This window comes from Homo sapiens, chromosome 11 (assembly GCF_000001405.40).
Source record: "Homo sapiens chromosome 11, GRCh38.p14 Primary Assembly".
NCBI classification, from domain to species: Eukaryota; Metazoa; Chordata; class Mammalia; order Primates; family Hominidae; genus Homo; species Homo sapiens.
The window spans coordinates 11,552,218-11,573,924 of record NC_000011.10 but is presented as its reverse complement, the minus strand read 5'-3'; the positions used below and the strand labels follow the sequence as shown (position 1 = coordinate 11,573,924).

At 47.6% G+C, this 21,707-nt stretch overlaps 1 protein-coding gene and 1 long non-coding RNA gene across 7 annotated transcripts in view, besides 3 other annotated features; one reads left to right on the top strand and one right to left on the bottom strand.

Annotated features, from left to right (window-relative positions):
• The window catches only part of GALNT18 (polypeptide N-acetylgalactosaminyltransferase 18), a 351,129-nt gene that overhangs the window by 48,081 nt on the left and 281,341 nt on the right, over nt 1–21,707 (top strand). The gene's annotated exons all lie outside the window — the stretch shown is intronic.
• Nucleotides 148–3,960, bottom strand: GALNT18-AS1 (GALNT18 antisense RNA 1). The gene is made up of 2 exons (XR_007062595.1): nt 3,728–3,960; nt 148–400 (listed from the first exon to the last, which is right to left on the bottom strand). It is a non-coding gene; the product is annotated as a GALNT18 antisense RNA 1 (long non-coding RNA).
• Nucleotides 3,122–3,621: an enhancer, noted in NCBI's record as "H3K4me1 hESC enhancer chr11:11591851-11592350 (GRCh37/hg19 assembly coordinates)". NCBI's record gives its function as "activates a minimal SCP1, AML or CMV promoter by ChIP-STARR-seq in primed H9 embryonic stem cells {active_cell/tissue: H9 hESC(primed)}" and the evidence as "EXISTENCE:reporter gene assay evidence [ECO:0000049][PMID:30033119]".
• Nucleotides 5,874–5,923: an enhancer, noted in NCBI's record as "active region_4454". NCBI's record gives its function as "activates an Ori minimal core promoter by ATAC-STARR-seq in GM12878 lymphoblastoid cells {active_cell/tissue: GM12878}" and the evidence as "EXISTENCE:reporter gene assay evidence [ECO:0000049][PMID:35858748]".
• Nucleotides 20,175–20,344: an enhancer, noted in NCBI's record as "experimental_18916 CRE fragment used in MPRA reporter constructs". NCBI's record gives its function as "activates a minimal promoter by MPRAs in K562 erythroleukemia cells, with activity observed for both the introgressed and non-introgressed 11:11575213 variant alleles {active_cell/tissue: K562}" and the evidence as "EXISTENCE:reporter gene assay evidence [ECO:0000049][PMID:34662402]".

Here is a 21,707-nt window from a genome sequence, read left to right as displayed (position 1 = left end):
ATGTTGATAGAATGAATGACCCCTCAAAATGCACCAAATGAAGATGGTGCACAGAAAGCCCCAGCACAGTGCTCAGCACCCCGCCTTCTGCAGTGGGAAGGATCGCCGTCCAGCCTCGGGAAGTCACCGTCGACGCTCATGCATGGGCATCTTCCAAGTGGGTTTATTGAGACCATGATGAGGATACAATATAGGAGATAGGATATCCCCTTCCATCTCATGAAGCTTTTGGCTGGAGAGAAATTCTTTCTCTCCTCGGAGATCCTGCTGTTTTCTAAAGATTGGTTCATAGCAGCTTCTTGTTCTCCACCAGCCTCTTGCTGATCCAGCTGGCACCTCTTCCTGGGTGGATCAAGGCTCCTGCTATCCTTTCCCCTTTGCTGGGCATCAGGTTCTGCATCTGTAAAATAAGGAAAATAAGACCTAGTCTGGCATGGTTGCTGTAAAATTTTAATATCGTTTGTGAGCAAGTTCCTGGCACCAAGTAAGTGCTCAGTTAATTGTGGCTTTTCTCCTTGGCTTGGCTGATACTTAGGTGGGCACATGTACCTTAGTGTAAGAGAAGGAGCAGGCAGAAATCCCTTTTATTTCAGTCTGCCCAGCCTTCCCACAGGCACTGTGATGCTGCGGCCCCACCCGGGGACAGAGAGCTCCATCTTCAGTATTGAAAGCTGTGTGTAGGGAATCTCTGGGACATCCATGTCAAGTATGAGTCAAGGCCGCCCACCATAATGAACATGAACATGCTCTCTGGAGGGGCGCTGTAGTTCAGAAAGGCAGGGTTTTGGAACCAGTTCAATGTGAATTCAGACCCAGTGTCCACTCCTTGCTGGCCCTGGGTTACTTTCATTAGTATCTCTGAGACCCAGGTTTCTCATCTGTAAAATGGGCTAAGATAACGTCCTCCTTCATGGGACTACTGTGAGGACTAAGAGAAGTGACCACTTGAAAGAGTTTTGCACAGAGTAGGTGCTCAGTAAATGGTAGCACCCTCTCCTCTTTGTCAAATGTACAAATTTAAGGGGCCATTGTTTTAAGACTTCTCAATATTTTTGGTCTCCAGCCTTGGCAATTCAAAATGGCAACTCATGCCCCAGTTGGAGTTGTTACTGCCATTGTGTTTTTCTTCTTTCCTGTGAGCAGAAGCTGGCGCCTGCTTCTGCATCCTAATAGTTGGCAGGAAGGCGAGGGTTGCGAGGGCCATCTGTTCCTTGTCTTCCTCAGAAGGGCACCGGGCAGCCATGTTGAATGTTCAGGGGTCCTCCTGCACCATTGCTCTGTGTAGAACTTCACATCCCAATGCTGTCAGAGAGGGACATAGCAGGAAAGCTGAATCTAAGACAGCTTCTCACACAGACACAGCACTGGCCAGGAGCGACTGTAGCGGAGCCAGGGCCCTGACTCATGCCCAAGTTCACATCCCAAGCTGGGTGTCTTTGGATTAGCTGCCTAAACTCTGTCTCGGTTATTTACCTTTAAAACAGAAATAGCAACAGTAACACACTCATACAATTTTCATGAAGACTAAGTTATTCAGGCAAAGTGCTTCATCTGGTGCTGACAGTTGATAAATGTTAATTCTTGTTATTATTTTACTCATACCACCTCCCTTGATCCCTGAAAGCCACCCAAGGAGCAAGCAGGCCGTGTATTTGTGTACCCCTCTTCTAGATAAAGAAACTGAGGCCGAGTGGTTACGTGGTCAAGGATCCCACAGAAAGGAGTGGCTAGGCCTGGATCCCGGCAAGACACTACATGCCAACAGCATCCACACCACTACTCGATGATGCCCACGCCCTGCGGCACAGGCCTGCTTGCACAGGGAGAGCTGGAGAACCAGGAAAATACAGAGTCCTGTGCCACACCTCAGATCTGCTGAATCATGCTCTTCAGTGGGGGAGCCTGGAAATCTGTATTTGTAAAGTGCTTCCCAGGGAATTCCTATGCCCAGTTAGTGTGGGGTCTGTGGTCTACACTGCTGGGCATACAGCTCACTGTGTTTCCCCAGGGCAGAGGGACAGGAAAGGGACTCTGGAATGAATAAACACCTTCACAGTCTGTAGCCAGGCAGATACTGTCGTCAGTAAGTTTTAGAGAAGCTTGTGGAAATGCAGACATAGGGTCACTTTAACACACACCAATTTTTTTTTCCAGGTCATTGGATATCTTTCTAGATAAAATAACCTCATTACGTGTTATGGGATTTGTGGAGAAAGTCTATTTAAATAGGATTGAAACATCCTTTGTCAAAATATTCTTGTCAATTAGCCTGGACATGGCTAATTGACAAGAGGTGGCCAAAGCCAGCTCAGCCCATTGCAAGGGCTCCTGGACATGCGGTTGATCTGCACAGTGGGCCTCACTGCCCAGGAAGAGGCATGTCCCACCAGAAAGCTGGTGTTCACTGGGAACTCTGACTTTGATCTGACCTAGTCATTAGAGGACTAGAGCCTTGGGGGGCTTCTGGAAGCACAGGCACCCGGACTCAGAGAGCAGAGCTAATTTTGAAGAGTTAGATTTATCACCAAATAACCTCATTTCCCAGCCTGCTGAGACACCTATTGCAGACTCATTGGTTTTCTGTTTCCACCACACAAAGTCAGGGGTTGATTCTCCAAAGACATGCCCTTGGGACCTTTTCCTTTTGTGTCTGAAGGTAGCTATACACACAGCCCAAGGGTCAGGCTGCCTGGATTGAAATCCTGGTCCTGACACTGACTAGCCAGGAGCTGTTGGATAAACTGCTAAGTTAATCTTAAGCCTTGATTTTTTTCATCTGTAAAATGGAAAGAATAAGACTGACCTCATTAGGTTGCTGTGAGGGTTAAATGAAGGCAAGAAAGGAAGCAGGCAACAAATTAGGAGGTTCTTAGGGTGGCCCATGGTGACTCAGTTTAGCATGTTGAATCACACACAGTGTGCTCAACCCAGGAAAACTTGGGGCCCATGAAAAACACTCAGTGGATGTTAACTGTTACTAATACCTCATGTCTTTAATATAGCATGGGTTTAACTGGTTGGTAAGAGGGAAGATGTGGGGATAATTTGGAGAGTAACTCTTTACAGGCAAGTAAATTACCTGTTCATTCCATTGTTCAACAGTGTGCTGAGCCCTGAATGTGCCAGGGACTCTGCTCGTGCTGGGGATGCAATGGAGACCTGAGATCATTGCCTTTTCACAACACTTGGGCTGAAGCCTGATATTAAATGGGTCAGTACACATTGCAAGAAGTGCAGTCAAGGCAAAAAATGGAGCGTGTGAGAGAAACAAGGTGTAAGTAGGGAAATAAATCCTTCCTGAGCTGGGGTGGCCAGGGGGAGCTTTGAGACTGTGATCTGAAAGGAAGAAGAGCTGGTTTGGTGAATTGTGGAAAAAAGCTTTCTAGGCAGAGGGCAGGGTCCCCCAGGAGGAAAAGAAAGTATGTTATGGTGTGTTCAAGAAACCTAGGGAGGCCAGTTAAGGGCAGGGCAGGGGCCGGACGGCCGGATGAGGCTTGGGTCGTGCGCAGAGGCTAGATCATGTGAGGGCTGGTGGGCTAGCTGTAAGGAGAGGGAAGCAGATATGCACAGTGCAAGCCCAGCCAGGGCGTCTAAGAAGGGAGGAGACACAGGTCTGCAGTGCTATCAGGTTGTTCTGGCCACGGCATGGAGAACAGAGCGGGTGGAGGGCAAGAAAGGAAGCAGGCGACAAATTGGGAGGCTCTTGGGGTGGCCCATGGTGACTCACTTTAGCACGTTGAATCCCACACGGTGTGCTCAGCCCAGTGCTAAGCTCTCCAGGGCAAACCATGGTTCCTGAGATGGAGTTCTCTTTTCCAGCCAGTCCGGGGCTCCGCCTTCTGGACACTCCCAGCCTGGCTGAGCTCCCTCACGTCTCTGCTTGCAGAGGAAACAGGCTCTTTCTGTGTGTTTTCCCAGCCAGGAAAAGTCCAAGCCACACTCCCTCACTTCCTGAGTGGCCTGCTCTGCTTCTGTCCCTCTTTATAAATGTCCCCGAACCAAAGTTCTTCTCTTTCCTGAGCTTTTCCTGTCTCCATGGACTGGCCTCTCTCTCTGTTTCAGTTCCCTTTCTCCTATGGCTACCCCAAAGACCTCATGCCCTGTTTTGTGATCTCCATGTCTCATCTCTTCACTGCTTGCCTACTTACCAGCAACTTGGACGTAGGTCATAGTCAACCCTAGTCCTGCTCTGGGGTCCCATGGTTAGTGCTGGGTGGAAGAATGGATGGATTCCTGTCACATTGGGTATTGTTCAGCCATTTCAGGAAGGACAGTTTGCCCAGGCAGATGGGACATAGCCCTTGGTTTAGTGAACTTGGCCTTGTTCTCCTATGATAGAATATGGGTCCACTCAAACGAGGCTTTGGGAAACCAAAAGCTCCCAGCCCCTTGGGCAGAGGTTCCATGGTCTGCAAGCCCTCTGAGATCAGAATTTCTTAGAATTCCCAGAGGATGTGATAAACATGAGATGGTTTCCAGGACATGTTGGCTGTATTTAGTGATCTAAAAGTGTGAATCTCACTCCAAAGAACCTTTTTCCAGCTTGGGGTATTGGGGTGGGGGCAAGTGGTGGTCTTACCCAGATACTCAAGGCAGAAGATAAACCACAAGTAGAAAGCTAAAACATTGAGCTCACTTCCTTGATGGTGTCTCTGAACTGCTTTTTTTTTTTTTTTTCCCTTCAGCCTTCCAAAATCTAATAATCACCTTGGAGAAATAGAGGAAGCTGTTTTATAACTCTTGGTTGAGTTGTTGTGAATCTACCTTGTTACATTCTTGCTTGTCAGTCATTCACTACTGGGTGCCCTCTGGGTGTTAGTAAATCCTTGACTACAATGGCAAGGAAGTGGGTGGCCACAGAATATACAAGAAGTCAGGCATCAGGGAGGATCAGCATGTGTCAGATCTGGAAAGGCCCTCAGAGATCACCTGATCAGTGATTTTGAAATGCATTTAGCTATGGGATTCTTGGCTAAGCAACATCTTACCTAGAAACCGAATTTGTACAGTAGATCAAAACAGAGCCCATCTGGCAGAAGCAGGGGATGAGGTTATATTGGCCACAGGCTTCTTCTCATCTCAGCTATCGGCTAAGACATCTCCAAGGAAACCAATGCTGGGTTTGAAAACCACTGATCAGTTTAGACAGAGGGAATGACTTGTACTAGGTCACCCAGGCCCTTAGAGACTCCGTGGTTTTAAGGGGGTCACATGGCCCAGTGACTTAGCCTGAATCCAAATCCAGAACTCCAGACTCCTAGTCCAGTGCCCTCTCCTGTACATCTTGCTCTCTATCTTAGACAGTGAGTCTCCATTGGCTCTTGGTGTGGAGCCTCCCCAGGAGAGGAAAAGGGGGTGATTTTTACTCTGAGATCTCCAGTGGCGTTGCTGAAACATTAAACCTACCTTTTTCCCCCCTTAACCAGAGTCACTGGCAGGATGAGTCATGAACTAAGGGTGTTGCCGGGAAGATTCACTTCTTAAGGAGCCTAGGGTATAAATGGATGGAAAATGAGTTATGGTGAAATTGGAACTAGGCCTGGGCTTTGTTAGGTGGGTGATAGGAGCCACAGGACATAGGTGCAAAGAGCTGGCCAACTCCCCAGAGCTACCTGCTACTCCTGTATTGAAGGGTAATTAGTCAGTTGTCGCGAAGTCTGGCTGCATAACAAACAACCTCAACTCTCAGTGGCTTACAAAGCAACAGTTTCTTTCTTCCTTATGTCACCTGGGCTGTGCGTTGGCTGTGGTTCTGCTCCACATACTTTCTCGTTTTGTGATCTGCCTGTTTTATTGTGGTTGAGAACAGCAAGAGGCTGAGCCAAATTGTATAGTCACATTTACAACTTCTGTTCAGACCTGGCATCCTTCATGTCTGCTCACACTCTGTTGGCCAAAATCAGTCACGTGGCAATGCCTGGCAGTGGGGCCAGGCCTTTGTGAGTCACAAGGCAAGGGAGATGGGTTATATAGTTCTCTTAAAGACAGGGTGAGGGTGGTAACTGTTAACGAATGCATTGTACCAGAATGGGTGTTTTGGGGTGATTGGTGGAAGATATATAGGATGTTTATCTCCCTAGGTATATAGGATGTTTATCTCCCTAGGACATAGTCTTTGGAGACAGAAAGACTTTTTAAGAATTCTGGATCCTAAGTCTTGGAGACATTGAGAAAGTCAGATCCTTGATTCCCAAACAATGCCATGTATCCCTTGTGGGTAACTTCTGTTTGCATTTTTCTCCTCCATAAGAGGATATGCACCTGAGCTGGCTTGCAGAGGCAGTGATGGGCATCTCCTGGTGGGGCTGGCTGGGTTTGGGGCCCAGAGGGGCCCAAGAAGCACCGCTGACGAACAATGCTTTAAGACTATGCTTTTCAGGGAAGCAGGAGGGTAGGAGAGCTGGAATGGTCATTCCTACTACCCTCCCCTCACCACTTGCCAGAAATTGTATGTTTTGTACATTATGGTATTACTTTGACAGATGAAAAATCAAAACTGAATCTCCTTAAGATACCGAGCCTCCAAATGCCTCCACCTTCCCAGTGGAAATCAATGGATGCCTTCTTTAATGGAGGTGTTAGTATTTTTGATGGTATTGATTTCTAATAAGTCAAGAATCAGGAAATCCCACTCTATGGGATCATTAGAGATTTGGATCTAGGTTACTAGGAAAAGTGTTGCTGCTAACCTTTGTCAGCAGCTCCTGGCTCAGCAGAAACCTTCACATAAATCACCTATAGGCTTCCAGGTGGCCTTTGATCAGACAAATGCCACTTAAGGACTTGCTTTTGCTCCTGGCTGCTCTTGAGTCTACCTCCTGCAGGAAATTCCATACTGGCTGGCTGCTTGTTCTTCCATAGCTTCTGAGGCCCGAATGTCAAAAGGAAGCTGTCCTCCAGGCTGTTGGGTAAGGAGAGCAGGAATTCAGGCAAAAAGAGGCCTAAGCAGGATCCAGGAAGCTGCACTCATTTTCCCATTCAAATGACCTTCTCTGGTAGTGCACAACTAATCACGGAAGGTGGAACACGTAATCAAAATGTACTCACATCCACTCTGCAGAAAAACAAGCCGGTGCTAGGTCACTTCAGAGGGGTCTGAAGAATGGAAGGGGTTCAAAGTGGTCTGTTCATCAGGACCTTTTGTTCCTCTGAATTTTCTCAAATTTCTATTTTTTCCAAACTTTTTATTTCAAAAGATTTCAAGTTTACAAAAAAGTTGCAAGAATAATGCAAGGAACATCTGTATATCCTTCACCTAGACTCACCATTGTTAACATTTTGCCATATTTCTCTTATCTTTCTTTCTATATATACTTGTTATCTCCCTGAACCATTTGAGAATTAGTTACAGCCATTAAGCCCTCTAAGCACTTCTGCAGATCGAAGACACCTCTCAAGAAAGACATCTCCCAAGAGCAGAGATATTCTCCTGCAGAACCACAATGTATTTATCACACTCAGGGGAATTAATGTCAATACAATAGTGTTACTTACAATCCTCAGTCAGAGTTGCCTGCTGGTCCCAAGGATGTTCTTCATAGTGAGGCTTGGCTACTTGGGCCAAATCCTGCTCACTGCTTGTTTTCATAAATAAAGTTTTATTGGAGCACAGTCCCACTCATTGATTTACATATTGTCTCTGGTTGCTTCTGCACTACAGCTGCAGAGTTGAATATTTGGGAGAAAGGCTGTATATTCCTCAAAGTCTAAAATATTTTACTATTTGACTCTTTAAGAAAAAGTTTCCCAACCTGTGCATTAACGTTTGTGTAATCCAGTATCTAATCAAGGCTCATGCTTTGCATATGTTTTTAATTTAAAAAAATATATGTGATCCCTAACTTATGAACATTCTTTACATACAAATGACAACAGGTTTCCTATGTTCTGCATGCTCCATCCATATCTCTCATCAATTCCCTGTAAGGTCCCAGCTCTATGGAACTACCTAGTGACATGAGTATTTAGGTGCCATATCCTTGTTCTTTGTTCCTGCGGTTTCCTTTGCTCAAAACACTTCTCTACACTGTCTTAAAGATTTAGTGCAAGCACCATCTCTTGGAAACCTCCAAAACCTTTTTAACTTCCTGTTCTCAAGACCCCTTTACCCACCATCTGGTTGTCTAAGCTCCCAAGACCGACTGGATTTTCTGATGTTGTAGCACTGACCACACAAGTGCATTGATCTATTTTCTGTTAGTCTCACCCACTAGTTTGTGGAGGCCTTGAGGGCAGGGTCCATGTTTTATTCATCTGTGTCTCCTTGGTGCCTAATATAAGGTCCTAAAATGCTCAGCCATTGTTTACTGAATGAATGAATGGATTCCTCCATGGTGCAGGGGCTCCTCTCCTATTCTTAGGACCATCTTGTGGAATTTCCAGCCTCCTTTTTCTTCTGCTCCTTCCTTTCCCAGTGCTTGCATTTGGGGCACTTACCCTCATGCTTAGAGGCCTTAGATCAATCTAATGCAGGAACCAAAATGAGAGATGGAAGAAAGCAGGGTGGACTACTGAAGCCACAGGCATACCAGAACCCTTCCCACCACTGCTCCTCTGCCACCGCCAGTCCTGTTCCAGCCCTTCACCACTCTTTTCCAGACTGTGGTAATCATTTGGTGATTGCTTAGAGTTGGGGATCCCAGCCACCCCTATGTGGCAGGTAGCATTAGCAGGCGACAGAAGGAGCACTGAGTGTGCTGAGCATCATCTCACTTGACCCTTATAGACCTCTGGGAACAGGGCACTGTCCCCATGCTCCAGATGAGGCAGTGGAGGCAAACAGTGATGGTCTTATGGTTAGGAAGTGTCAGAACCAGTGTACATACTGGGAGCTGGTGGTTCCACAGCCCCTTTCCAGTCACTTGCAGTGTTCACTAATTTCCCTTGGGAGCAGTGGTGTATCCCTGGCACCCCGAGTTTAACCTGTGAAGGAATATATTATCTTCTGCAGTGCTGGAGTTTGGGGTTAGGGTCTAGATCAGGGCTGTCCAATAGAGCAAGCATTCTGTGGGGAGGGAGATGTTCTAGACCTATTCTGTTCACTATGGTATCGAGCAGACACAGGCCACTTATGAACACTTGAAATGTAGCTAGTTTGACTTATTTAATTGTAATTAACATATTTAATTTAAATAGCCATGTGTGGCTAGTGCCTACCAACAGCACAACCTAGAGTAAAGGTTGACCAGGGATAGTCTAGGCAAATGTGCTGTGTGGGTTGACTGGCTGGATACTTCTTGGGTTAGCAGGGTTTTCATAGATAAGTTGGTATTAAATTCCAACCAACATCATTAGCTACCAATTTGTTCTGGAATTGGGGGCTGCCTGCATTGCCACCGTGCTGATGAGCTCTGACAGTTTTCAGGTTTGCCTTTGAGGCAAATGACTCTTTCAGCCCTCAAATAAGGCAGATAAAATGCATAGGGCCGTGGGGAAGAAAAGAAGGGAGGCATGGATGAGAAGACCCAGGGGGGTCTCATGTGATGGAGCTATTTTATGTGCATTCTAGTTCTGCTCTTCTGAGTGAGCACTTGCCTGGAATCCTTCCGGGGATTTGGGTTCTCAGCTGGAGTTGCCAGCAGAATGTAGACTCCCAGGGATGTATGTGCCTGTCATTCTAGGACCTGAAGGGGAGGCTTGACAGAGAGTCAGGTGCATATCTCTTAAGATGAGCCTTCAGGTGAAGGCAGTATAGCACAGTGGTTATGGACCCGGGACTTGCAGTCACACGTTCTAGCGTGGAAGCTTATAAACTCTCTGGCCTTGGGAAAGTTGTTCTACCTCTCTATGCTCAAGTTCCTTCAACTGTAAAATGGGGTTAAGATCAGTACGTAACTCACTGGGCTCTTGTAAGAGTTAAACAAGCTGACATTCATTTAGCATGGTGCCTCACTAGTAATCAGCATCTAGTTGATCGTTGCTGGTTTTTAGGGCGTTGGAGCAAGCCATCATGTCAGATCAGCATAGCTCTTTATATCCTTCTCTCTGCATTTTTTCCTCTATCAACAGTTTCTTGCTTTCAGAACTCAAAATGCTTTGGGGAGCTTTGCAAAAATTTGCTCCCAAATCCTGGGAAAGGATATCTGTTTTCTCATCTCGTCTCCCTCTCTCTGGATATTTATAGTTCTGGATAGAAAAGAGCTGCTTTGATTTCTCAGAATAGTTTCCACAAAAGTGTGGTGCTAGGGAGGCAGGGCTGGGAGGAGAGAGTGTTAGACTTGGCGTTGGGAAGCCTGGGTTTGAATCCCACTTGCCGGCTGTGGGGCCCCCACCAGCAACCACAAGCTAGCCTTAGGCTTTGAGCCTTAGTTTCCTCACTTGTGACATGAGGATGGAGTGATAGTCAGATGAGATGATACAGCCCTCTGTTTGCACCTAGAAGACACTGTGAATGTCAGTTAAATGTGAGCATTTAAATCCTTTTTCAGCTTAAGTGTTCAAACTCACAAGTTGGAAACTACTTGTGGGGCCCTTCATGGTGAGACTCCCAGCTGGAAGGCATCCAGAAGCCACCTTCAGAGTAATGCAGTTAAAGGCAGCAGACCCTGTCTGTCCAGATCTCGGCTGTTCCTCTACCAACAAGCCTTACTTAGATGACTGGAGCAAAGCTTCCGGAAAGAAAAGACTGCAGATGGAGCTGAAATTGCCCTATGAGAACAAAGCCAGGAAGAGCCAAGTCTCTTGATCCGGGGAGGTGCAAGGTGAACAGCCACATTATGGCTTGGGGAGGACACATTTGGACTGCGCCAGGCAGCTGGGCCCACTGCAAGCAGCTGCTCCTCCACTGTTTGAGGGCACTCTGTGGGGTGTGGTGGGGGGTCACCTCCTGGGCTGGAGGAGTCTTGTTTGCAGGGTGGGGGTGGAAGTATATAGGGAAGCCATGAAGCACAAAACGTCAGGACCAAGTTGGCAAATTGTAGAAGGCACGGAGAGAAAGAGCACATGTTGGAAGCATGTAGTTCCTGGGAGTCTCTTCCGATCTGTGAACTTGAGGGCTGTGGGGGTGCTGAATGAAGCCTGAGGCAGGGTGATGGGAAGGGAAAGCCCAGGCCTCGAGCTAGGCAGACCCCAGTTCAAGTCTTTTTTGCCACTTTCCTCCACGTGACCTGGGTTAAATAGCCTCTCTCAGCCTTGAGTTAGCATCATTAAAATGGGGATTGAAGGCAGAGCACTTTGTGTTTGGAGGAACTTAATGCGTGGTTGAGCCTTTCTCCCTACGGAATTTCATAATATGTAATACTTTGTTTGCTCCTCTGCTGACTTGCTTTGCTATTTGCAGACGTCCATGTGGGGCCTTGAAATTGTGCTGTGCCATGGGGTTGCTGGGGTAGGAGGCAGGTTTGATGGTGATGGTGGTGGGTGTTGCTAGGACAACTCCTGAAGCCCCAGTTCTGTGTACTTGAAGGTCCAGGGTCTAGGGGAGTATTATGGGTTGAATCATGTCTCCCCTAAAACAATATTTTGGAGTCCTCACCCCTAATACCTCAGAATGTAACCTTATTTGGAGATAGAAACTTTATAGAACAAATCAAGTGAAAATGAGGTCATTGGGGTGGGCCCCAATCCAATATGACGGGTGTGCACATCTAAAGGGGAAACATGGACACGCAGACAGACACACACTAGGGGCATATGAAGTGAAGAGACACAAGAAGACAGCCAGCCAGAAGCCAAAGAGAGAGCCTGGAACAGATCCTTCCTCACAGCCCACAGAAGGAACCAATCTTGCTGGCACCTTGATTGCGGACGTCTAGCTCCCAGAACTGTGAGAGAATGAATATCTGTTGTTGAAGGCACCCAGTCTGTGCTACTTAGTTAGGACAGCACTAGCAAACTAATGCAGGGAGCAATCCCACACCTTTAGTAAAGAGAAAGGGTTAGGAGTGTGGTTTATGGAGTGCTCGGAAGGCCTGGCTAGAGCCCTGCCCTGCATTCACTCGCTGTGTGACAGTGGGCAGGTCCCTTCACCCCTGTGAGCCACTGCTACTTGGTCAGGGTGCAGAGGTAATAATACCTGTTCTCCTGTGGATCTGTGGTGAGGTGAAATGGGAGGGTGTGTGGTGGTCATTACTATTAATTCCCCTGCCCGGTTCTCGTCTTTGCTTTCCAAGTAGGCAGCCTGCCCCTTGTTGGCTCTGCCCAATGGGCCACTCCCTGCCTCACTGCTTGGGAACCCAGGATTTCTGGAAGCAGGACCTGTTTCCCTGGGAAACCACACCCATGACACCTGCAAGACTTTGGGGAAGATCGCTGGGCACAGTTCTGCACTAAAGCTGGACCAGAAAGTGTTTCCTCAGCTGTATACTTTTGGGATGAATTAATGAGGTCAACGAGCCTTTCCTTGACATCTGTTTTTTAGCTGACTCTGCTAGGCATTTTCACATTTGCTTTCTCACTCAATCCTTACCACAATCCTTTGAAGCAGGCATTATTATACCCATTTTGCAGACTGGGAAACTGAGTGTCACAATGCTTAAGTGACTTCCCCAGGTCACCTGGCTTATACATGGTAATTCAGCATTTGAATCCAAAATTATATGATTTCACATCCCTTCCTTTCCCTACAGCACAGTGCTTCATTTGGAGAAGTGTTGGTTTTCTGTTCTGGAATATGGATTTGCCTGGGTGGCGTTGCGAGTGGAAGGTAGGGAAAGGCCTCCTGGATTTCTATTAAGAGAAGGTGGCTAGGCTCAGAGGGAGTTTATTTCCCTTTTCCCTCCCCTCCCTTCTCAGCTCCCTGAAAAAGGCGCCTCGCAGTTTCTGCTGCTGCTGTTTCTCATGGATTTTTAATAAAGATGATTAATGAACCAAGAATTGATAAGAAAAGGCAAATGGTATTTGGGTTATTCATTGTTCTAGTAAAATATAGTTTTCACTGCAGGTCTTAAGTGACTTTTTCGTTAAAATGCCATCAAAGAAAGAAAAGGTTAAATAAAATGAGTTTTCCATGGCAGAAGTGTGAACCAAGGGGCCTCTGCAGGACAAGACCCTGGGGCAGCCAAGCAGTAGGCTTTGCCACTCCCCAGTGGCAGAGTTGTGGCAATTCTGCCAAACAACACCTTTCTCCCAGAAAGAGGGCTAGAAGAGCGATTCCTCAAAAAGGGTCTGGCAGGAATCTCAGTAATTCTGCTCCCTGGAGGCCCAGTGGGGTCTGAGGGCCCAAGAAAATGGACTGTTTCAGCCCTGGTAAGGCAGGCAGGCATACAGAGCTACCCATGACTGCTGGGCTGGGGTCAGTACCCTGTGTGGTCAGCTGCCCTCCTTATCCTGCACAACCACACCTGCCATGATGCCTGTAGCCAGAGGGGCTGTGTCTAGAGCTGTGTGGGGACAGCGCCCTTCCAGCTGAACTCCTTGACAGCTCTGAAGGAGGCTTCTTCCATAGGCAGGACTCAGAGAGCTTACACTGGTCTGATGTCACCAAGGAGATCTGCACGTTCCCAGCCTTACAGACATTGGGCACCAATGGGTGAATTGCCTTCCACATTAAGGATATTTTTGTCTTTCTGAATCTGCTTTGAGCAAGTGTCTCTATTGTGATTTGAAGAGATTTTGTCACAACTACTCTGTTTCATTCCATCACCTCCCATCTCATCCCACCCCATCCTATCATATCCTGTTCTATTGAATCCCAACCTATCCCATCATATCTCATTTTATTCCATCCCATCCCATCATATCTCATTCTATTCCATCCCATCCCTTCATATTCCATTCTATTCTATCTCACCCATCCCATCATATCTCATTCTATCCCATCCCATACATCCCATCATATCCCATTCTATTCTATCCCATCCCATCCCATTGTATCTTATTCTATTCCATTCCATCCCGCCCATCATATCCCATTCTATTCCATCCCATCCTATCCCATCCCATCCCATCCTATCCTATCCCATTCCATCATATCCCATTCTATTCCACACCATCCCATCATATCTCATTCTGTTCCATCGCATCCCATCATATCCCATTCTATTCTATCCCATCACATTGTATCTCATTCTATTCCATCCCATCCATCCCATCATATCCCATTCTGTTCCACACCATCCCATCATATCATTCTATTTCACCCCATCCCATCATATCTCATTCTATTCCACCTGATCATATCTCATTCTATTCCATCCTATCCCATCATATCCCATTCTGTTCCATCCTATCCCATCCCATCCCATCATACCCCATTCCATTCCATCCTATCTCATCATATCTCATTCTATTCCATTCCATCCCATCATATCCCATTCTATTCTATCTCATCCCATCCCATCGCATCCCATCCCATCATGTCTCATTCTATTCCATCCCATCCCATCCTATCCCATCCTATCCCATTTTATTCTGTCCTATCCCATCCCATCCCATCATATCCCATTCTATTCTATCCCATCCTATCCCATCCCTCTCCATGCCTTAAACACTCATGAGATTGTAGATGGTGTCAGGTCCTCTTCTAAGCACTGGGGAAACAGAGATGACCAAGACTCAGCCCTGCTATTAGAAAGCTCCCTGTCTAACAAGAGAAAGAAGCAGACAGTTGGGGTGTGATGGAAACAGTAGATGGAGAGACTAGGCACCCTTCTCCCCTTTCCCCCAAGCTCACTCCCACATATTTACCTGGGGAAGAGAGGTGGCTAGAGGAGAATGTGACAGTGGAGGGGGTGGTCGGAAGAGGCTTCTTGGAGGTGACTATTGGATTGAATTTTCAAAGAGTGGATAGTAGTTTGCCAGGCAAACAGCAAATCTCCATACTGGCACTTAAATACAGCTTGATAGGTGCTGGGCCACATTCCTAGAATTTCACGTATATTAACTAATCTACTTCCCTCTTAACAGCCTGTGAAGGAGGTGCTGTTATTTATTACCTCCATTTTCCAAATGAGGAAGCAGAGGCATGGTGAAACACCGTTTCTGAAGTGGTTGAGTTGGGGCTGGAGCTCTGGCAGGCTATGGTGCTCACTCCTGTGCTGTGCAGCCTCTCTGGCAAGGTGGGGAGAAACTCTGGACTAGAGGTGAGAAGTGGTGCTGCCCTTGAGCATCAGGACAGTAAGTGGGGACTCCAGTAACCACTCCTCCTGGAGTGCAGATATTATTTTCTCTATAAACAAAGTCCCTTGAGCTAAGCTCTTACTCTCTGAGACCCAAGATGAAGAGGCAGGAAGGGTTGCCACTTTCCCCCACCTGCAAAGTGCTTTCCTGGCCAGGGAAGCTGTGGAAATCCAGCAGTGCGTCAGAAGAGGGGAGCTTTATCCCAGCCCTCTGGCTGCAGGGGCTCCCAGCCAGGAAACTCTGAGCCTGGGCTGGACTTTCCATCCCTGATGCTTCTAAAGAAGGGTGGAAATGCTGCCTGACTCCAAGCATGAAGCAGGGCTATTCCTGTGCAGCTTGCCTCAGGCCTTGGGCACACCCAGGCTCCACCTGCAGGGACAAGCGCTGTGCCCTCCGCAGAGCCCAGCCTCACCCTGCCTGATACCTTGCACAAATGTGAAGCACACACACTAAGGCATTTGCAAGCATTCAGCAGTAGGACTTTAGCCATTTTTTTCCTCACTTGTCTTTTTCTAGAGAAAATCAAGGATCCCATTGCATCTATTACAAGGTATTGCCTTTTCTCTATTGCAAGACCTGTCATTGATTTAATCATCATTTTTCAGAGGGGGAGAAAAAAACCCTACCACATTAAGAGTACACCTTGATCATAAGATTCACCATCAATCACCATTTCAAAAACATTACAATGTAAAAAAGAAATGGGGATCTGAGAATCCAGGGGCGATGGTATTTTCTAAACATCTTGTGGCAGAAGGAGGATATGTGTGTGGGGAGCTTATCCAGGAAGGTTGGCCCTGACTGACACTGGTGAAGGCAGGCGGCAGAGATGCGTGCCCATCCACCCCTGCCTCACTGCCTTCAGTTTCCATCATACAGTTCCACTTTGGGGACATTTCTAATACCTCAAAAACACTCGCAGCTGAATTCGTTCTTCAGTTGAGTTTGACAAATAATCAGCTTCTGCTTCAAGCTGGGGAAATGTCAACTCAGTGGATGTACACGGACCAGCTGTGATCACCAGGTATGTTGGAGCATCCTCTTGGTGGCTAGATGGTAATGAGTGCCAGCCATGTGGCATGAGAGTACCTTGCTCAGAGTCAAAGGAACTGGGCTGTAATCCCAGCAACCTCAGATGCCATTGCTTTGCTTCTCTGGGTCCCCAATTCCCCTTCCATATAGTAGGGATGCAAACTGATAGCCACAGAAGCTGACAGTTACCGAGTGCTCAGCGTGTGCCACACAGCGTTCTGTGTGTCTTTAAAGTACAACTCATCTGATCCTCACAACAACCCTAGGAGGGAGATATTTTTATCCCTATTTTTCAGATGAGGAAACTGAGGCACAGTGTTGGGTCCAGAGCTGTGTGGGGACAGGGCCCTTCCAGCTGAGTTCCCTGACAGCTCTGAAGGAGGCTTCTTCCATAGGCAGGACCCAGAGAAATTAGGTAATTTAAGACATTGAGTAATTTCCCCAAGGTCACACAGCCAATAAGTGGCTGAGACAAAAGTTGAATCCAAGCTCTCTAATTGTAGGGTTTATGCTTTTAAAAATGCGGGTACTACCTTAGAGCAATAATTATTGCATATAAAAAACCCACCATAACCATTTAAAAATGAATATAACATAAAACTCCAATACTGAAACATTAAATGGCAATCTTCCTGTTAAACAGGAATGAGACTCAGAGACTCTTCTACCTGCAAGGATCTGGAGGCACCTCTGTGACACCCTGGAGTTCCTTAAAACAGCATAAAGACAGCTAGACTGAGAAACCTCATAGGGCCATCCAGTGTCCAGTGTCCCGTGTCCTGAGACTGTCTAGGAAAGACCCAAGGCCTGGCATGGGAGCCTCACTGAGACCCATGGGCCTCCTGGGCAGACTAATGTTATGGCACCTCTTCTATCTAATATTCTTGAGATATTTGTTCAACATTTTCAACATTTATTTGTTGAAGATAGAAAAATGGATTTTCTAGTAATAGGATCTGTACACCTTTAAAAAATGTTCTATAGGCTATCATATGCACTGAGCATAACATTTGAACTTGTTTGGGATTGTAGTTTACTGCACATTTTTCTATTGCTCATAATTGGATAGCATTAGCCACTCCTGTTAGCTAAAGATAATGGTAGTGTACATTGACATATCGTGAAATGTTTGTTCCCTGCAAATAGCGCTGTATCCTGCTTTCCTGTTTTCAGAATTTTAGCCAGCAGCTGGCATCATGCAAGTTTGGTTTGCAGTTGCATGGTCTGTAGCTGCATGGCACAACTTCATTTGCAACGCAAAAATACTCAACAGAGGTAGGAAACTGGAGCCAGTGAGAAGTTAGATTTTTGTATTTAGTTCTACTTTTACTCAAGGGCACTATCTTGCACAGAAGTGAGACGAACTCACTTTTTGTGAGTTTTATCTATTGCATAATTGCCCCTGGAAACCTGAGTTACCGGTGCCATGTTGGCGACTTACCCCAGTGACATTTTTGCAATCCCTAGACGTGGCACTTCACGCTACTGTCACGGCTGCCCGGTATAGGGCAAAGGGTGTGTTCTATACAATTCTAGGGGTAGACTACAATGTGAATGGTACCCCATAGAGTTTTCCAAGCTGCACAGTCCTGATGGCTGACTCCTTAATCAAGCGATAGAGTTTGACCTTCGCTCCTTATGTTTATCCCAACTTCACGTAGTGGGAACCCTGAGCCCATTTCTGCTTCCACCTCATGGAGTATATTTGGGCAACTAATGCCTCCCTTTTCTGGGTCTTAGTTTCCTCCATGAAACCTGAATTGTTTATACAAGGTCCCACCAGTTCCATGCGATTGTTTTGCTTCATCCATGACCTGGCACTGATGGTCTGTTGATTTCTGGTGTTGACTTAAGTCTGATCTCGGTTAGAGGACTCAGAGGAAATAAGGGAAAGCAAACCAGATCAACGTTCAGATGATCCTGCTCTGCATTCTCGTGAGACCCCAGCCTCTTTCCTGATATGTGCTGGAGGTCTTTGGAGAAGATTCCATGTCTTTGAGACAGAGTCCACTTGGTCTGGTAGAGATGCATCCCCAGCCAGGCTATTCCACCTGGTCATGGGCTTACCTGAGGAGGCCCCTGATCTGAGGAGGTTCTGGCTGAGGGAGGTGCACCCTTGCAGGAAGGCTTGACCATTACTTGCTTCCCTGGTAATGCTGTTAAGGAAATGAGGAAAGTCTGGCAGGACGTGTCTTTAGTGGGTGTTTCAATTTCCTAGGGTTCTGTAATAAAGTGGGTGGCTTAAAACAACAGGAATTTATTCTCTCATAGTTCTGGAGATTAGAAGTCTAAAGCCAGGGCATTCAAAGCCAGGTTAAAGTCAGTAGCCAGGGCCCAGGAGAGCTTTGTCACAGGAGACTCACGCCAGACCTGTGTTTTAAGCTGCACGCCTGCTGGCACGTGGCCACTCCTGGGCTGATGCTGTCGCAGTCTGAGCTCCTAAGCACTGGAGCGTGGATTAAGCTGGGGTTGGGGAAGATGAGAAGCCTGTTTCTGGCAAACGTTTACACTGTGTCAGGAAAATGCTCTCTAGCTAGATCTCCTGAAAACAGAGAACCCTGCAGCCTGTTGGCTGTCAGAGAGGGGCTGGGTCCTTGGCAGCTTGGCTGGCATGAATGGTGGGGTGGGGATAGGCACCCCCGCCCTGAGCAGCCCATCAGGGATCCTGAGCAGGACTCATCATTCAGAGTCCTTAGTTCAAGTCCCGATGACTCCGAATTTCTTAGCCTCTTTAAGTGTCAATTTCCACAACTGTAGAATGGCAGAAATGATAGACACTTTATTGGGTTGTTGGTAAGATTTAGTGAGACCACAATCTCAAAGTGCAAGGAAGGTGCCTGCAAGAGTAGGTTCAGAGATTCTGTGTTTCCTTCCCAGGAGGCTGCGCAGGACCAGCCCTGTTGTTCCACTCTGCCTGTCTGCTCCCTCCGGGACCCTCACCCCTGCTCAGAGACCCTGGGCTCAGACAGACACTGTCAGAAACAGGCCCTGCAGTCCTGGAATCTGGATTCTCTTGCCTCTCCCCTGACACTTTCCATAAGTAGAGTGTCTAGGGGAGAGCTGGCTGTGTGTGAGCCATGTGAGGGAATCAGCCACACTTCTTCCAACATAGCCGGTGAGATAGCATCAGTTCCCAAAAGATGTTCCATGGAACATCAGTTCCATTCCAGGCTCTGGGGAATGGAGTTCTGTGAACAAATACATTTGAAAATCTGTATCAGGAATGACCTAAATACATTAATCACACTAAAGGCTTGGAGACACTTTATAGTAAGAAAGCCTGGTTAACTTTCAGGGTGTCTTAAATGAATTTCATCTCAGAAGTTTAGCTCCCCATCCCTCCCCCTCATTTTTTTTTTCAAGTAACACTTGCTGACAAGCACAGGTAATGTCTTTCATGAAAGACATGCTGAAAGACATGCTGGAGACAGATTACAGGTGTCCCTGAGGCTACCTGTGCCTCCCCGTCACGGTGGTCCCCCACTTCTCTCTGTGGCCCCCTCTCCACTCAGTGATAATGCTTCTTCCAGAGCCAGTGGCTCCTGGAAAAGAAGGCCAGGCTGTGGCAAAGGGGAACAAGCCCACTGAGATGTAAGGAAGGGCATTGGCAGGACTAGGAGGTCACAGCCATGGCTCCAGAAACATTGCTGTCCTCACAGGTGCATGGGTGCTTGGTACTAACTGGTCTGCTGAGCTGAGTCGGGAAGAAGCCGCCAGTCAGCGGAGGGAGTGGTGACCACCGGGGAGGACGCATCACTCAACAGAAGATTGATTCCCCTTGCCTGTAACTGGCAAACCCTTTTGTAGTTACGAAGTGCTGCGCGGTGGGCCAGCAGTGCAGAAGGGGAGCAGTAATCAATGTATAATTACGGAAGTATCAGGCAGGCAGAGCCCGAGCCGCTCGTGTCCTCTGTGGCAAATTTTCCGGGGCTGCCTTAGGGATGTGCCCATGCATTTTCTAAGAGTTAAATGGATTTCTCAGCTACACTGTGGACTTGCAATCAGGGACATGGCAGGCGACCTTGGCACCCAGCTGCGGGCGACTTGGCTCAGCAGGAAGTGAAACTTAAAGAGAGGACCACTTGGAAGGGCTCCCGGGGGCAGCTGGTTAGCAGTGTCTGCCATCGGGTGGGAATTGTGGGGGTGCTGGGGGGGAGCTTGGTGCTTCTCAGTCCTCTCCACACTTCTCCTTTCCATAAAGGGCCTTCCCAGGGGCTTTCCCATTTCTCCTTCAGTGAGTTTTGAAGGCATTTTCCCTCCCCTGACTACCCCTCCTCTCCCCTCCATGGAGGCAGGACCCAGATCTTGGATTCCTTCTGGCCTGTGGAACTCTGGGAGAGGCAGGCAGGGAGGGGGTGACAGAGGCCTGGGTCCCGTCCATGCCCTGGGACAAGACAGGAGCTGTGGAGGTGGGCTTTGGAGGGGCAGCCTTGCTGCCTGGCAGTGTCTTGGTTCCAGTCGTGGCTGGCCCCAGGTGCTTGACTGGGAAGGCAAAGTATACATAGATGGGTCTTCTGAAATCCTGCAGCAGGTGGGAAGGTTTACTCAGGACCTCAGCGCCCTGGTGGCATGGGAAGATAACTAATCTGGAAGCAGGAAGCGGTGGGATAAAGAAAGGAAAACTAGGCCAAACTTCAGAGTGGTTCTCGAACTTGAGAGTAGGTCGGAGTCACCTGGAGGGCTTGCTTTCCCACACCCCAGAGTTTCTGCTTCAGTGGGTATATCATTTGGGCCCCAGAATGCATATCTCACAGGTTCCCAGGAGACACTAATTCTGTTGGTCCTGGGTGAATAGCTTGAAAACTACTTGAAAACTACTGATCTAGATTAAACTCACCCAAGTAAGCAAAGCCCAGGGCTGAGACCCTTGCATGGGAAGCTGTGGCTCCTGACAAACTGCTGATCTCAGTCTGGAGTGGCTCAGGAATGTGGGTGGGGTGTCAGGGGCTGGGTGTGGAGCAGAGACCTGGAGCTGAGGTGAGGCTGGGACCTGGTTATTTAATAAACCAGGCTGTTGTCTTTCTTGAGAAAGGCTGACAGAACCATGCAGAAGCTAGAATGCTGGATTTAGCCTCTGGTCAAAGACAAGTCCTTTGCATAAGGGTGTGGGGTCTGTGGGAATCACTCTGTTCTTAGCAGGGTCACAGTATATCCCTGCTTTGTCCACAGTATGCCCCTGCTGTTGAGCCCTTACAAGGGCTCTAGGCTGACCCTGAAATGCTTTCTCATACTTAATTCCAACTCTGAGGCTGAGGTTAAGTAACTTGCCCAGGGTTTCATGGCCATTAGGAAGCTGGGCTGGGATTTGAAAACTATGCTGCCCATATGCTGTTTGCATTTACTCAATAGCCAGTTGTCACAACTGTTGTCCCCCAGGCCCCGTGCTGGGAGGTATCAAACCAGGGCCTGCCTTCCAGAAGCTCTTGGTCTTTTTGAGAAGGTAAAGGCTCAAAGATAACTTTGATACAACATGATGAGTGATAATGTGGATGTCTGAAAGAATGGGGTAGGGGGACAGCTGGAGGAGTTTCTAGCTTTTTTGGGGTCCTGGGCTCCTTTCCAGATTTTGGCCATGGCAGGTGAGGGGTGGGTGACCACAATTCTCACATGCATGGCTC